The following is a 17,870-nucleotide window of genomic DNA, read 5'->3' on the forward strand; positions in this document are numbered from 1 at the left end:
GAAGGAGACCTCGCTGTAGGCATGTCAGCTGTGGACTCTTGCCTGTCTTCTCTGTGGGATACTTGGGACAGTCTCATGATCCTACAAGAGGGCAGACATGAGCCAGCTGAAAGAAACATCAAACAGAGCCCCAGGAATAAACGGCAAAACCCCTAAGGATCCAAAAGATCGCAAGATTCCTCAGGCCTGCCTAGATGATGTAAGGGTGAGTTTTCTTGAAACTTGTTTCACTATGATTTCTAGTTACAGCCCACATGTTCCCCCGGGTTGCTTTCACCCAAATGGGGATTCCAGCAAAACCATGCAGCCTCAGAAGCTACCAAGTGCTGTGTTTCTTCAGGAGTGTTGCAAGTGTTGGATGTCTGTGTGTGTTTGGTATTGTGTATTTGTGTATGAGTGTGTTTGTGTGTGTCTATGTGTGCCTGTAAGTTGAGTCTACTTAAAGGAATGTGGCAAACACACTCCAGAGCTTCATTTTTTTGGATCTCCCAACCTTTTGTTGGCCTGTCTCTGTGGCTCTGCTTCGGCTGCGAGGCTTTGTGTTATTTTTTTTCTGTGGATCATGAATCTGCAGTAAATTAGGATGTGGGCTGGGACCCGCCAATGTCCAAATCACCTCCCCCTGCAAAAACAAACAAACAAAAAAACACACACACACAAAAAAACAACACACTTCTAGAAAGAAGAGAAGCACACCACACCAAAAAACAGACATCTCCCAGTGTTTCAGTGTTCTGTGGCCAACCCAGAAAGAAACACTAGCAGTCCTGTATGCAGGACCCCTTGAATTTACATAGAATTTGGCTCCCAGCTGAGCATGTGCTTCATGTCATGATGGGGAACTCCTCTATCATCTTGGGATATCATCCTTGGACCTAGAATGTGAACAGGGAAAAGTTCAGATAGGGGTGAGGATAAAATCTGGTGAGGAGTGGATGGGGTTCTGCAACTTCATCTGCAAAAAAAAAAAATAATGAAGACAGGTAACAAAGATAGTTCTTCAAACTCCATCCCCTCATTTTCTTAATTGCACAATCTGTCTGCACCTTGGCCCAGTGTTCAGGTGGGAGTACTCTAATGTGCAAAAAACATTTGGACTGCAAATTGGGGCCATCTTGGCAAACTCTGGATTTGAGGCCTTTTATACCCAGAGTCAAATGTGAGTAGAATAGATTGATGATGTCTGGGATGTGGCTTCCACAATGGCCTCTTCTTTTCCTGACTTCCATGTTCCTTATAGGCCTAGGGTTTCCTGGGTCTGGCTCAACGACTTCCACATTAAACATTTCAGAATTCATGGAGAATGGGACTTATGAAAATCCATTGCATTAATTTTTCTTTCTAAACGCTGTCATGTGTTAATGACTGCATGGCTTTGAATTTGTTAAAACGATAAATTCCTGTTACAGCTGCCATAAGGAAACTCGTGTTCACCCACTACTATCAGAGAGATGCATGATACCTGAAAAGTGAGAAGCTGACAGCCGTGTCTGCCTTGGTCTTGTAATCTAGCCTCTGTTTGGCTGCCAGGGATTTCAGAGAGCAAAAGGGACTTTGGTTAGGCTGGCTGCACTCCAGGTTGTGATGCTTGTCTCATAGTGGGAGCTGAGGTTGTTTGCATTTTCCAGGAGGATTTTGGGTCCTCTGACAGGAATTATTCAACAAAGCTTGAACTCCTGCACAAAGCAGCTTGTTCTCTCAGGCAAGCCTTCATATTTTTATTTTTTATTTTTTTTTTGCTTTCACTGGGATTCAACAGTGCCCCTCAACAGCACTAATGGACACCCTTTTTAGACTCGCCATCACTGCAGATGTCCTCTGAGACACTGAATCTCATCAGCACCTGTGAGAGGCCAGTATGAGCTATGAGAACACTGCTCTACCTTGGACTTGCCTTTGTTGTTGTTCCTGCTTTTCCCAGAGGGCCCCTGCAAGGCCCAAAATAAAGGGAGGCAATGAGGTCAAGAGCCAGGCTGTCTTTCTTTGACATTCACACCTGGGGTCTCAGGTATGATTCTATCACTTAAAGAACCCTCAACGACACACCAGACAATTTTCCAATCACCATGGGACCCATTTCTGGCACACAGCCTCTTTTGGGAATGGATTCAGAAGAGCAGTTTCCAGTGACCACCTCACAGTCTGGAAATGCCTCTCCCTCCAGTAGGACCTGACCAGAGAGGTGGCCAGAAAGGGGCGGCCTTAGGTTGAGAGTTTTAGGATCCTGCAGTGGGTTTTCACAGGCAGCATTTTTCCCAATACCAGTCTGGCTCTGCCTGTATTATTTTCCTCTGCTTGGGCAGACTGACAGGTCTGATGGCCAGGCACCTGGGCCTGCCTCACGAATGTGCATGCACAAGTCTCAGGGCACCAGGACTGATATTGAGCTTTAGTGAGCATCCCAATGAATGTCATTGTTGCCTAGCAACAAGTCCCTTCATCTTTGCAGAGAAAAAGGCCTACGTGGAGCTGCGTGGTTGGTGAACTCTTGCCTGTCTTCTCTGTGGAAACCACAGGATAGTCCCATGAGCCTAGGAGAGGGCAAATGAGAGCCAGCCTGAAGAAACATCGACCACAGCACTAGGAATAAACCTCAAAATCCCTAAGGATCCAAAAAAATCGGAAGGATTCCTTAGGCCTGCCTAGACTTTGTAGGTGTGAGTCTTTTTGAAACTTGCAGTACTGTGATTTCTAGGAGCAGGCCACCTGTATTGCCTGGGGTTGCTCTATGCCACATTAGCTTCTTGCAAAACCACACAGCCACAGGAGCTGACAAACTGTTTCTGAAAGAGTGTTGTGAGAGTTGGATGTTGGCATGGGTGTGTGGCTTTGTTTTTTGTGTGTGTGTGTTTGTGTGTGCCTGTAAGTGGAGTCTGCTTAAGGAATGTGGCTACCACACTTTGGTGCTTCTTTTTTTAATTGAGTCTCACAAATTTGGTGGCCTGTCTGTGTGGCTCTGCTTGGGCCGCAGGGCTCCATGTTCTTTATTTTCCTGTGGCTCATGAATCCACAGTGAATTGGGGGCCGGGCTGAGACCTACCAGCATCCAAGTCACCTACCACAGCAAAAAAAGCCACTCTTCTAGAATGAAGAGGAGCACACCACACCAAAACAAAACAAAACAAAAAAAAAAAAAAAGAAAAAAAAAACAGGCATCTGCCAGTGTTTCATTGTCCTGTGGCCAACCAAGAAAGAGACACTGTCAGTCCTGTCCTCATGGCCCCTTGAATTTACCAAGAATTCAGTTCACTGCCAAGCAGGTTCTTCTGGTCATGAGACGGCACTCCTCCATCGTCTGGGCATTTATCCTGGGACATACAGGGTGAGCAGGAATAGGGTCAGGTAGGAGTGAGGATACAATCTGGTGAAGGTTGGATGAAGCCCCACAACTTCACCTGCAAAAAAAACATGAAGACAGATGACACAGAAGGTGCTTCCAACTCAACCCCCACATTCCCTTAATTACACAAGTAGTCCACACCATAATGTGGGTTCAAGTTGGAGCACTGCAATGTGAAAGGAACATTTGGAGTGCAAATCCGGCCCATCCTGTCAAACTTCTGATTTGAAGGCTTTCAAACCCGGAGCCAAATGGGAGTGGAATGAATTGATGTTGGGTGGGATGTGGCCTCCAAACTTGCCTCTTCTTTTCCTCACTTGCATGTTCCTCATTGGCCTGGGGTTTCCTGGGTTTGGCTGAACAACTGTTACACTAAACATTTCTGAGTTCATGGAGAACATCCCTCATGGGAATCCACTGAGTGAGTGTTTTCTTCTAAACACTGTCACGTTTTAATAACTGGGCAGCTTTGATGCTTTTAAAACTAAATTCCCATTACAGCCACCAACAATGAAACTCTTCTTTTCCCTCTGCTCTCAGAGGGCTGCATGATTCTTGTATTATGAGAAGCATGTAGCTGTGTCTAGATTTTGCCTGGTAATCTAGCCTCTGCTTCATTTCATCTGCTCCTCCTTCTCATTGTGAATGGGTTCTTTCATTGGGCTGTTAATGGATGGGTATGCCTCTTGCCACAGATATTTTGGCTGCCAGGGATTTCAGGAAGCAAAATGGTTATAGAGTAGACTGGCTGCACATCGGGTTTTAGGTCATTGTCTTGTTGTGGGGTCTGAGGTTGTTTGCATTTTGAAAGAGGCTTTTTATTTCTGTGACAGGAATATTGGTACATTGCTTGGACTCTAGCACAAGTCAGCTCGTTCTTTCAGATGATGCTTGATGTTTCTTGGCTTTCATGGGGGATTCACATTGCCACTCAACCACACTACTGGATACACTTTTCAGGCTTGCCATCACCACAGATGGCCTCTGAGACACTGTTTGAACCACATCTGCACCTGTGAGAGGCCAGTTTGAGGTATGAGAACACTGTTTCAATTTGGACTTGCCTTTGTCTTGGTTCCTGCTTTTCCCAGATAGCACCTACCCAACCCAGGATGAATGAGTGCAGAGAGGTCAAGTGCCAGGCCATCTTTTGCTGACACCCTTTTCTGGTATTTCAGGTATAAGTCCATCATCCAAAGACTGCTCAACATCTCACCAGAATATATTTCAATCCTCATGGGGCATGATTCTTTCACAAAACCCCTTTCAGGAATGGAGTCAGAAGAGTAGTTTCCAGAGACAACCTCACAGTCTTGAAACGGCTCTGCCTCCCATGTGATCTGACCATGGAGATGGCATATAAGGGCCCTAAGTTTGAGACTTTTAGGGTACTGCAATGCGTTATCACAGGCAGCCTTTATCCTGATACCAAGCCAGCTCTGCCTGTACCATTTTCCTCTGCTTAGGCAGGCTGACAGCCCTGACACCCTGGTGCTCCAGTTTGAGTCACTATATGTGGATGTGCTAGTCTTAGGGCAATGGACCTGAGCTGTGAGCTGTAGCTAGTGTCACAATGAATGCCAGCTTTGCTAGTAACAATTCCCTTTGGCTTGGTAGAGAAGGAGACCTCTGTGGAGGTACAATGGTGGTGCACTGTCACCTGTCTTCTCTGTGGGATCCATGGGACAGTTCCATGATCCTAGGAGAGGGTAGATGTGAGCCAGCCTGAAGAAATGTCAAGCAGAGCCCCAGGAATGAAGCACAAAATCACTACAGATCCAAAAGGATCTGCAGAATTTGTCAGGCCTGCCTAGACATTGTAGGGGTTAGTCTTATTGAAATGTGTCCCACTGTAATTTCCAACTTCAGCCTTCCTGTGTTCCCAGCAGTTTCTCTCTCCCAGGTGGGGCTTTCTGCAGAATGACACAGCCTCAGAAGCTACTGGGCTGTGTGTTACTGTGGGAGTGTTGCGAGTGTTGGATGTCAGCATGTGTGTGTGGCTTTGTGTGTTTGTGTATGTGTCTGTGTGTGTGTATGTAAATGAATTCTGTGGATCAGGAATCAGCAATGACTAGTTAAGCTGTCTGTGACCAGCCGGGTTCCCCATCGTCTGCCCCTGCCAAAAAAACAGGTACTCTTCTACAAAGAAGAGGAGAGCACCACACCCAAGAACAGACATCTCCCAGTGTTGCATTATAAAGCAGCCAACCCACAGACACTAGCACTCTGGTCTGCATAGCCCCTTTAATTTACCTAGAATTCAGTTCCCAGCCAAGTAGGTGCTTCATGTCCTGAGGGTGCAATCCTCCATCATCTTGAGATTTCATGCTGGTACAGAGAGTGTGACAGCAATAAGGTCAGATAGGGGTGAGTATACAACCTGGTGAAGGGTGGATGGGGTCCCGTACCTTCACCAGCAAAAAGGGTGAAAATAGATGACACAGAATGTGCTTCCAACTCCATCCCCACATTCCCATAATTGCAAAATCAGTCAACAACATGGCCTGGTGTTTAGGTGGGAGTACTCCAACCTGCAGGAAAAATTTGGAGTGCAAATTGTGGCCAATCTGGAAAACTCCTGGTTTGAGGGTTTTAATACCTGTAGTCAAATGGAAGTGGAATAGATTGATGCTGGGTGGGTTGTGGCCTCCACATTTGTGTCCTCTTTTACTGACTTCCATTGTCCTCATTGGTGTAGGGCTTCCTGGATCTGGCTCAACATCTTCCACACTAAACTCTTCCCTGTTCACAGAAGACCATCATAAAAATGCATTGTGTGAGTATTTACTTGTAAACACTGTCACGATTTAATGACTGAGTTTCTGTGATACTTTTAAAATCATAAACTACTATTACAACCAGCAACAGGGAAACTTTTGTTCTCCCACCGTTATCAGAGGGCTGCAGGGTTCGTGAAGGAGGAGAACCAGGCAGCCATGTCTGGCTTTTGCCTTGTAATCTAGGCTCTGTTTCCCTTCATCTGCAGACTATCTTCCAGTCCCCATAGCTATCTGATTCTTCCACACAGCCTCTTTTGAAAATTGAGTCAGAGAGCAGTTTCCAAAGACCCCATCACAATCTCAAATTGCCTCCTCCTCCAGCAGGACCAAACCACTGATACAGCTGGAAGAGGCCCTGGGGTCAAGACATTAACAGTCCTGCAGAGGGTTTTCATATGCAGCCTTTTTCCTGACAATAGGCCATCTCTGCCTGTAACCTTTTCCTCTGCTTAGGCAGGCTGACAGCTCTGACAGCCTGGTGCCCAACCTGTCTCATGAACAAGCAAGCACCACTCTCAGAGCACCAGGCCTGAAAGTGAGCTTTGGCTAGCACCATAATGAACGTCACCATTGCCAGCAACATGTAATAGTCCCATGAATGTAGGAAAGGGCAGACATGATTCAGCCTGAAGAAACCTCAAGCAGAGCCCCAGAAATAAACTGCAAAATCCTTAATAATCCAAAATGATATGCAGGATTCATTAGGCCTGCCTAAATGCTGTAGGGGTGAGAATTTTTGAAAAGTGCCCCTAGGTGATTTTTAGGTACATCCTTCTTCTGTTCTCCGAGGTTGCTCACTCCAAGGTGGGGCTTCCTACAGAACCACTGAGCATCAGGAGCTGCCAGGCTGTGTGTTTCTGTGGGACTGTTGCAAGTGTTGGATGTCTGCATGTGTGTGTGGCATTGTGTGCTTGTTGGTGTGTGTCTGTGTGTGTGTGCTTTTAAGTGCAGTCTGCTTAAAGGAATATGGCTAACACACATCAGTGCTTCTTTTTTTTTAGTTTTCCAACCTTTTTGTGGCCAGTCTATGTGGCTCTGCTTGGGGTTTGGGGCTCCATGTTCTTCATTTTCCTGTGGATCATGAATCCACAGTGAATTCAATGGCAGCTGAGATACCCCGGCATCCAAATCACCACCCCTGTGAAAAAAGCCACTCTTCTAGAAAGAAGAGGAGCAAACCACACCAAAAACAGACAACTCCTAGTTTTTCATTATCTTGAGGCAAACCCAAGGAGAGACACTGTCAGTCCTGTCCACAGGGCCCCTTGAATTAACCTCGAATTCAGTTGTCAGCCAAGCAGGTGCTTCATGTCATAAGGGGGAAAGCCTCCATCATCTTGGGATTTCATCCTGAGAAATAGAGTGTAAGCAGAAATAAAGTCAGATAGGGGTGTGGATACAATCTAGTAAGGGTTGGATGGGGTTCTGCAACCCCACCTGTAAAAAAATATGAATACTGATGACAAACAAGGAGCTTTCAACTCCATTTCCACATTACTTTAAGCACCAGCATTCCACACCATGGCCCACTGTTCAGTTGGGAGTACTCCACAGTAAAAGACCATTTGGAGTGCAAATTGAGGCCGTCCTGGCAAACTCCAGATTTGAGGGCTTTCTTACCTGGAGTCAAATGGAGGTGGAATGGATTGATGCTGGGTGGGATGTGGCCTCCAGACTTGCCTCTTCTTTTCCTGACTTTCATGTTTCTCATGAGCATATGGTTTCCTGGGTCTGGCTCAACGACTTCCACACTAAACATTTCCCAGTTCATGAAGAACAACCCCCATGAGAATTCATTGCATGAATGTTTCCTTCTAAACACTATCAGGTTGTAATGACTGGGGAGCTTTGATACTTTTAAAACCATAAATTCCCATTACTGCCACCAATAAGGAAACTCTTGTTTCTCCCACTTCTACCAGAGGGTTACAGGATTCCTGTAGGATGAGAAGCAGGCAGCCATTTCTGGCTTTTGTCTGGTAATCTAGCCTCTGTTTTATTTCTTCTGCACTGCAGTCTCATTGCGGAGGGGCTCTTTCATTGGGCTGTTGCTGGATGGAACGGCCTCTTGCCACAGATTATTTGGTTGCCAAAGATTTCTGAGAACCAAAGTGACCTCAGGTAGGCTGGCTGAGTCCAGGTTGTGTGTCATTGTCCTGTTGTGGGGACTGAGATTGTTTGCACTTTGTCAGAGGCTTTTGAGCCCTCTGATATGAGTCATTGAACATTGCTTGGACTCCATCACAAGGTAGCTCATTCTTTCAGGTGAGCATTGATTTTTCTTTGCTTTCATGGGGAATCCACATTGCCCCTCAACAGTAGTACTGGACACCATTTTCAGGCTTACCATCACCACAAACAGCCTCTTAGACACTGTCTCAACCTCATCTGCACCTGTGAGTTGTGAGCCCCAGGTGTCAGCACACTGCTTTACTGTGGACTATCCTTTGTCGTGGTTCCTGCCTTTTGCAGAGAGGCCCTGCAAGGACCAGGATGAAGGGAGACAGTGAGGTCAAGAGCCCAGCCATCTTTCACTGACACCCACTTCTGGGTTCTCAGGTAAGTTCCTATCACCAAAATAACCCTCAACAACATACCAGACTATATTCCAATCCCCAAGCGACCTGATTCTTACACAGCCTCTTTTCAGAATGGAGTCAGAAGGGCAGTTTCCAGAGACTCACTCACAGTCATGAAACACCTCCTTCTCCAGAGAAACCTGACAACGGAGATGGCCCAAAGCATTCCTGAGGTTGAGACTCTTAATATCCCACAGTGGATTTTTGCCAGCAGCCTTTTTCATGATACCAACCTGGCTCTGCCTGTACCATTTTTTTCTGCTAAGGCAGGCTGACAGCTCTGACAGACAAGTTCCTACGCTGACATCACGAATATGCACATGCTTGTCTCAGGGCACCAGGCCTGATTGTGAGCTTTGGCTAGCATCACATTAAATGTCACCGTGGCCTAGTGACAAGTCCCTGCTACTTAGCTGAGAAACAGGCCTCTGTGAAGGTGCAGTGGTGTTGTACTCTTGCTTGTTTTCTCTGTGGGATCCATGGGATAGACACATGATCCTAGGAGAGGGCAGGCATGAGCCAGCCTGAAAAAATTCAAGCATAGCCCAAGGAATAAACTGTGAAATCCCCAAAGATCCAAAAGTATTTGCAGGATTTCTCAGTTCCACCAAGATATTGTAGAAATTAGTCTTCCAGAAACTGCCCCACTGTGATTTCTAGATACAGCCCCCAGTTGTTCCCCAGGATTGATGTCTCCCAGGTGGGGTTTCATGAAGAACCACACAGCCTCTAGAGCTGCTGGGCTGTGTGTTTCTGTAGGAGTGTTGCAAGTGTTGGATGTCTGCATGTGTGTTTGTGTCTGTGTGTGTTTGCCTGTAAGTGGAGTCAGCTTAAAGGAATGGGGCTAACACACTCCAGCATTTCTTTTTTTTTTGAGACTCCTATCTTTTGTTGGCTTGTGTGGCTCTGCTGGAGCTGCAGGGCTCCATGTTCTCTATTTTTCTGTTGATCATGAATCCATGGTGAACTGGGAGGTGGCCTGAGACCCCCCGGCATCCAAATTACCTCCCCTTGAAATAAAAAAAGGCCCTCTCTAGAAAGAAGAGGAGCACACCACACACACACACAAACAAACATATCCCAGTGTTTTCTCATCCTGTGGCCAAATCAGGGAGAGACACTAGTCATCCTGTCTTCAAGGCCCCTTGAATTTACCTCGAATTCAATCAGATGCTTCACATCATGAAGGGACACACTTCTATTGTCTTGGGATTTCATCCTGTGAAATAGAATGTGAGCAGCAATAAGGTCAGATAGAGGTGAGTATATAATCTACTGAGGGGTGGATAGAGTCCCACAATTTCACCTGCAAAGGAATTGTCCACACCATGTCCTGGTTTCAGGTGGAATTACTTCAACCTTCAAGGGACACTTGGTATACAAATTGGGGCCATTCTGGCAAACTTCTCACATGAGAGCTTTCATATCTCAGCCAAATGGGGGTGGAATGCATTAATGCTGTGTGCAATGTGACCCCTAAACTTGCCTCTTCTTTTCCTGACTTCCATGTCCATCATTGGCTGAGGGTTTACTGTGACTGGCTCGATGACTTCCACACTAAACATTTCCCAGTTCACAGAGAATCACCCTCATGGGAATCCATTGCATGAGTGTTTCCTTCTAAACAGTCATGTTTTAATGACTGGGCATCTTAGATACTTTTAAAACAATAAATTCCCATTACAGCTGCCAGCAAGAAAACTCCTGTTCTCCCTCTTCTATTGGAGGGCTGCATGATTCCTGAAGAATGAAAATCAGGCAGCCATGTCTGGCTTTTGCCCAGTAATCCAGCATTTGTTTCATCTCATCTGCACCACCTTCTGATTGTGGAAGTGATTTTTTATTGGGCTGCTGCTGGATTGGACTGCTTTTCACCACAAATTATTTAGCTGCCAGGGATTTCATAAAGCAAAAAGGTCTTTGGGTAGGCTGGCTGCACTATAGGTTTTGGGTCATTTTCTCATTGTGGTGACTGAGGTTGTTAGCACTTTGCAGCAGGGTTTTGGGTCCTCTGACAGGAAATATTGAAAATTTCTGGGCTCCATCACAAGGCAGCCCATTCTCTCTGGTGAGCATTGATTTTTCTTTGTTTTCATGTTGAATCCACAGTGCCCCTCAATAGCACCACTGGACACTCTTCTCAGGCTTGCCATTGCCACAGACAACCTCTGAGACATGGTCTCAATTTTATCTGCACCCATGAGAGGCCAGTCCAAAGTACTGTTTCACATTGGACTTGGCTTTTTCATGGTTCCTTCCTTTCTCAAAGAATCCCTGCAAGGCCCAGGATGAAGGGAGACAGTGAGGTCAAAAGCCTGGCCATCTTTCACTGACACCCCATCGTATTCGATTCTGGCACACAGCCTCCTATGGGAATGAAGCTGGAAGAGTGGATTCCAGTGACAACCTCACAGTCTTGAAATGCATCCTCCTCCAGTGGGACCCGACCACAGAGGCTGCCTGAAGGGGCCCTGAGGTTGAGACTTTTGGGGACCCACAGTGGGTTTTCACAGGCAGCATTTTTTCTGATAGTATGCCAGCTCTGCCTCTACCATTTTTCTCTGCTAGTCAGACTGACAGCTGTAAGAGCTGGGTGCCCGAGCCTGCTTCATGAATGCACATGCACTATTCTCCAGGTCAGACTGTGAGCTCTGGCTAGCATCCCAAAAATATCACCACTGCCTAGCCACAAGTCCCTGCCTCCTGTCAGAGAAGGAGACCTCCGTAGAGGTTTGTCCATGGTGAACTGTCACCTGTCTTCTCTGCAGAATCCGCGGGATAGTCCCATGATCCTAGGAGATTTCAGATGAGAGACAGTGTGAGGAAATGAAAGCATAGTCCCAGGAATAAACTGCAAAATCTTTAGGAATCCAAAAGGATCTGCTGTTTACCTCAGGCCTGCCTAGATGTAGGTGTGAGTTTTTTTGAAACTTGCCCCCATGTGATTTCTAGTTACAGCTCGCCTGTGTTCCCCAGGGTTGCTCTATGCCAGGTGTGGCTTCCTGCAGAACCACACAACCTCAGAGGCTGCCAGACTGTGTGTTTCTGTGGGAGTGTTGTGAGTGTTGAAAGTCTGTGTATGTGTGTGGCATTGTGTGATTGTGTGTCTCTGTGTTTGTGCTTGTATGTGCAGTCTGCTTAAAGAAATGTGGCTATCACACTTCACTGCTTCTTTTTCTGTGTCTCCAAACCTTCTGTTTGGCCTTTATGTGTGGCTCTGCTTGGCTTGCGGGGCTCCATGTTTTTAAATTTTCTGTGTATCGTGAATCCGCAGTGAATTGGGAGGCGGGCAAGGATCCACTGGCATCCAAATCACCTCCTCCTGAAAAAAAAGTCCACTTTTCTAGAAAGAAGAAGGACACACCACACCACAAAAAGTGGAAAAATTGACATCTGCCACATTTCATTGCCCTGCTTCCAACCCAGGGAGAGGCAATTAAAGTCCTGTCTGCAGGTGCCCTTGAATTTACCACAAATTCAGTTTCCAGCCATGCAGGTGCTTCAAATCATGAAGGGTCCCTTCTCCATTGTCTTAGGTTTTCATTCTGGGACATTGAGTGTGAGAAGGAATAAGGTGAGACTGGAGTGAGGATACAATTAGATGAGGGGTGGAAGGGGTCCCACAACTTCCCATGCAATAAAAATGAAGACAATTGATGCAGGAGGTGATTCTACGTCTGTACTCACATTTAATTAATTGCACAAACAGTCCACACCATGGCCCCAATGTTCAGGTGGGAGTTCTGCAATGTGCAAGGAATATTGGAAGTGCCAGTTGGGACCATCCTGGCAAACTCTGGATTTGAGGTCTTTCATACACGGAGGCAAATGGGAGTGCAATGTATTGATGCTGGGTGGCATGTGGCCTTCACACTTGCCTCTTCTTTTCCTTTCTTCCATGCGCCTCATTGGCCTAGGGTTTCCTGGGTCTGGCTCAACAACTTCCACACTAAACATTTCCCAGTTCATGAAGAATGACCCTCACTGGAATCCATTGTGTGAGTGTTGGTTTCTAAGCATTGTCACATTTTAATGACTGCACAGCTTTAATATTTTTAAAACTGTAAATTTGTATTACAGTCACCAACAAAGAAACCCTTGTTCTCCCACTTGCATCAGAAAGCTGCACGATTTCTGAAGGATAAGAAGCAGGCAAACATGTCTAGCTTTTGCCTGGTAATCTAGTCTCTATTTTATTTCATCTTCACGGCCTTCTCATTGTGGGAGGGCTGTTTCTTTGGGCTGTTCCTGGATGGGACTCCCTCTCTCTACAGTTTAATTAACTGCCAGGAATTTTAGACAGCAAAAGGGACTTTGTGTATGCTGGATGGGCTCCATGTTGTGATTGTTGTCTCGTTCTGGGGGCTGAGGTTCTTTGCACTTTGTGGGAGGCTTTTGCGTCCTCAGACAGGAATCGTTGAACATTGCCTGTACTCCAGCACAAGGCAGCTTGTTCTCTCATGCGAGCCTAGATTTTTCTTTGCTTTCATGGGGGATCCACAGTGTCCCCCAACTGCACTACTGCACATACTGTTCACCCTTGCCATCACCACAGATGACATCTGAGACACTGTTTCAATGTCATCTGTGCCCTTGAGAGGCCAGTCTGAGGTGTAAGAACAGGTCAAGTGCCGCCTCTGGGGTTTCAAGTATGATTCTTTTACCCAAAAAACCCTCAACAAAGTCTGATTCTATCACCCAAAAACCCCTCAACAGCACGCCAGACTATAAACCAATTTCCATGGGACCTGATTCTGACACACATTCTCTTTTGGGAATGGAGTCAGAACAGCAGTTTCCAGAGACCACCTCACAATCTCAAAATGCCTTCTCCTCCAATGGGACCCGATCACAGAGACGGACGAAGGGGCCCAGAGATGGAGACTTTTTTGGGTCCAGCAATGGGTTTTCACAGGCTGCTTTTTTTCTGATACCAGGCAGGTTCTGCCTGTACCATTTTCCTTGGTTAGGCAGGCTAACAGCTCTGACAGCCAGGTAAGTGAACCTAACTCATGAATGTGTTTGCACTAGTCTTGGGGCACCAGACCTGATTGTGAGCTCTTTTGAGCATCACAATGAATGTTATCATTGCCTAGCAACAAGGCCCTGAGGCTTGGTGGAAAAAGGAGACCTTCATGGGGGTGCATCTGCAGTGGACTCTGCTTTTATTCTCTGTGAAATCCATGGCATAGTCCCACAATCCTAGGAGAGGGCAGAAGTGGATTCCTCAGGCCTGCCTAGACATTGTAGGGGTGTGTTTTTGAAACTTGCCCCACTGTGATTTCTAGTTACAGCCCCCCTTGTGTTGTGCATTGTTGCTCTATGCCATGTGGGGTTTCCTGCAGAACCACACAGCTTCAGGCGAGACCAGGCTGTATGTTTCTGTGGGAGTGTTGCAAATGTTCAAAATCTGCATGTGTGTTTGTGGCATTGTGTGTTTGTGTGTGTGTGCATGTGTGTGTCTGTAAGTGGAGTCTGCTTAAAGGAATGTAGCTATTGCACTATAGCATTTTTTTTGAGTCTCCAAAAATTTTGGTGACTTGTCTCTGCTGTTTTACTTGGTATGTGTGTTCTTTATTTTTCTGTGGATCATGAATGCAGTTAATTGAGAGGCTGGCTATGACCTGCTAGGGTCCAAGTCCCCTCCACCTGCAAAAGTGTCACTCTTCAGGAAAGAACAGGAGAAAACCACACCTAAGAATAGACATCACAATGTTTTTCATTGTTCTGTGGCCATCCCAGGGAGAGACAATAGCAGTGTTGTTCACAAGACCCTTTGAATTTACCTAGAATTTGGTTCCCAGGAGAGCAGGTTCTACATGTCATGAGGGGCAACTCCTCCATCGTTTTGGGATTTTTTTTCTGGAACAGAGAGTGTGAGCAGCAAAAAGAACAGTTAGGGGTGAGGATACAATCTGCTGAGGGGTGTATGGGGTCCCACACCTTAGCTTGCAAAAAAGTTTAAAACAGATGACACAGAAGGTGTTTCCAACTGCATTGCCAAATTCCTTTAGTTGCAAAAGCAGTCCACACAATCCCCATTGTTCAGGTGGGAGTACTCCAACGTTCAGGGAATATTTGGAGTGCAAACTGGGGCCATCCTCACAATCTCCCAATTTGAGGGCTTTTATATCTGAAGCATAATGGGAGGGCAATCGATAGATACTGGGTGGCATGTGGCCTCCACACTTGCCTCTTGTTTTCTTGACTTCCGTGTTCCTTTTCAGCATAGGGTTTCCTTGGTCTGGCTCAATTTCTTCCAAACTAAATGTTCCCAGTTCATGGAGGACGACCCTCATGGGAATTCATTGAGTGAATGTTTCCTTCTAAACACTGTCACGTTTTAATGACTGGAGAGTTGTGATACTTTTAGAACTGTAAATTCCCGTTGCAGCCACCAACAAGGAAACTCTTGTTCTCCCACTTCTATCAGAGGGCTACACAGTTTCTCTAGGATGAGAAACAGGCAGGCATTTCTGTCTTTTGCCTGGAAATCTAGACTCTATTTCATTTCATCTATATGTCCTTTCTTATTGTGGAGGGGATCTTTCATTGGGCTGTTTCTGGATGGGGGTGCCACTCACCACAAATCTTTTGGCTGCCAGGGATTTCTGAAAGCAAAAGGGAATTTAGGCAGGCTGGCTGAGCTCCAGCTTGTGGGTCATGGTCTCATTGTTGCAGCTGAGGCTGTTTGCAATTTGCAGGAGGATTTAGGGTCCTGTGACAGAAATCTTTGAATGTTACTTGGACTCCAGCACAAGTCAGGTGGTTCTCTCAGGCAGGCCTTGAATTTTCTTTGCTTTCATCTTGGGTCCACAGTGCCCCTCAACAGCATTACTGGAAACCCTTTTTAGGCTTGCATTCATCACAGACGGGCTCTGAGACACTGTCTCAACCTCATCTGAATCCGTTAGGGGTCAGCTCGAGGTCAGAGAACACTGCTCTGCCTTGGACTTGCTTTTTTCGTGGTTCCTTCCTTTCCCAGAGGGCCTCTGCAAGGCCCAGCATGAAGGGAGGCAGTGAGGTCAAGAGCCCAGCCATCTTTTGATGACACCCACCTCTGGTCTCTCAGGTATGATTCCACCACCCAAAGAGCCCTCAACAACTCACCAGAATATATTCTAACCTCCATCTGTCCAGACTCTTGCACACAGCCTTTCAGGAATGGAATCAGAGTAACACTTTCCAAAGACCACCTCGTAGTCTCGAATCACCTCCTTCTCCAGTGGGACCTGGCCACAGGAATGACTTGTAGAGGCACTACAGTTGAGACATTTATGGTCCCTCATTGAGTTATTGTAGGCAGCATTTTTTTCAATACCGTGCCGGCTCTTCCTGTATCTTTTTTTTTCTTTTTTTTTTAGGCTGGCTGACAGGTCTGACAGCCCATCACGAAAGCCTGCATACTCTTAGACACAAGGACTGAGCTATGGGCTCCAGCTAGCATCACAATGAAGGCCACCATTGCCTAGGGATAAGTCCCTGTGACTTTGTGGATAAGAACTCCGTGGAGGTGAGTCAGCGGTGGACTCTCGCCTATCTTCCCTGTGGGATTCCCACGATAGTCCCATGGGCCTAAGGAGAGGGAGCAGGTGAGTCAGCCTGAAGAAAAGTCAAGCACAGCCCCAGGAATAAGCCACAAAATCCGTACAGATCCAAAAGAATCTGCAGGATGCCTCAAGCCTCCCAGACTTTGTCGGGATGAGTCTTTTTAAAACTTACCATACTGTAATTTCTAGGCACAGGCTGCCTGTGTTCCCTGGGGTTGCTCTTTCAAAGGCAGGGCTTCCTGCAGAACCAAGAAGCCTAAGAAGCTGCTGGGCTGTGTGTTTTTGTGAGAGTGTTGCAAATGTTGGAAATCTGCATGTATGTGGTAGTGTGTATGTGTGATTGAGTGTGTGTGTGCCTGTTAAGTGGAGTCTGCTTAAAGGAATGTGGCTAATGCACTGCAGTGATTCTTTTTTCTTTTTTTTTTTTTGAGTCTCCAAACATTGTAGTGGCCTGTATGTGTGGGTCTACTTGGGCTGCTGGGATCCATATTCTTTATTTTTCTGAGGATCATGAATCTGCAGTGAATTGGCAAGCTGGCTGAGAAACACCACTGTCCAAATCACCTTCCTTTGCCAAAAAAGCCACTCTTCTAGAAAGAACAGAAGAACACCACAACCAAGAACAGAAATATACCAGTGTTTAATTGTCTTTCAGCCAATCCAAGGAGAGACACTATCATTCATCTCTACCGGGCCTATTAAATTTACCTCGAATTTGATTCCCAGAGGAGTTGGTGCTTCACATCATCAGGGGGAACTTCTCCATTGTCTTGGGATTTCAGTCTGGGATAGAGACTTTGAACAGCAATAAGGTAATAAGGTCAGATAGGGGTGGGGATACCCCTCTGGTGAGGGGTGGATGCCATGCTGTACCTTCACCTGCAAAAAAAGAAAAAAAAAAAAGAAGACAGATAACACAGAAGTTGCTTCCAACTGCATCCCAGCATTCTCTTAGTTGCACAAGCCGCACATACCATGGCCCTGTGTTCACGCGGGAGTACTCCAACGTGCAGGGGACATTTGGAGTACAAACTGGGGCCAAGTTGGCTAACTCCATATTTGAGGGCTTTCATACCCAGAACCAAATGGGACTGGGAGGGATTGATGCTGGTGGCATGTGGCCTCCACACTTTCATCTTTGCATTCTGACTTCCATGTTCCTCATCGACCTAAGGTTTCCTGGGTCTGGATCTAAGTTTTCCATAACAAGCATTTCCACTTCACAAGGATGATCTCATGGGGATCCATTGTGTGATTATTTCTTTCTAAGCACTGTCTCAGTTTAATGTCTGGGCAGCTGTGATAATTTTAAAACAATAAATTCACATTCCAGTGGCCAAGAAGGAAACTCTGTTTCTCCCACTTCTATCGGAGAGCTGCATGATTCCTGTAGGATGAGAAGGAGGCAGCCCTGTGTGGCTTTTTCTGGTAATCTAGGATCTGTTTTATTAGATCTGCCCATCCTTTCTCATTGTGGAGGGTTTCTTTCACTGTGCTATAGCTGGGTGGGAGTGCCTCTTGCCAAAGATCTATTGGTTGCCAGGGATTACAGGGAAAAATAGAAACTTCAGGTAGGCTGGCTACACTCCAGGTTGTGGGTTGTTTTCTCATTGTGGAGGCT

The 17,870-nt window shown here is 46.3% G+C and overlaps 2 long non-coding RNA genes across 2 annotated transcripts in view; one reads left to right on the forward strand and one right to left on the reverse strand.

Annotated features, from left to right (window-relative positions):
- Positions 1-17,870, forward strand: part of TTTY2 (testis expressed transcript, Y-linked 2) — a 22,191-nt gene continuing 4,321 nt past the window's right edge. Inside the window, exons 1-5 of the long non-coding RNA NR_001536.2 lie at positions 1-205; positions 6,039-6,116; positions 8,593-8,679; positions 16,064-16,212; positions 16,905-17,061. This is a non-coding gene — a long non-coding RNA (testis expressed transcript, Y-linked 2). The remainder of the gene's footprint in view (positions 206-6,038; positions 6,117-8,592; positions 8,680-16,063; positions 16,213-16,904; positions 17,062-17,870) is intronic.
- The window catches only part of TTTY1 (testis expressed transcript, Y-linked 1), a 21,164-nt gene continuing 20,164 nt past the window's right edge, over positions 16,871-17,870 (reverse strand). The window contains exon 5 of the long non-coding RNA NR_001538.2: positions 16,871-17,128. This is a non-coding gene — a long non-coding RNA (testis expressed transcript, Y-linked 1). The remainder of the gene's footprint in view (positions 17,129-17,870) is intronic.

This window comes from Homo sapiens, chromosome Y, assembly GCF_000001405.40.
Source record: "Homo sapiens chromosome Y, GRCh38.p14 Primary Assembly".
Classification (NCBI taxonomy): Eukaryota; Metazoa; Chordata; class Mammalia; order Primates; family Hominidae; genus Homo; species Homo sapiens.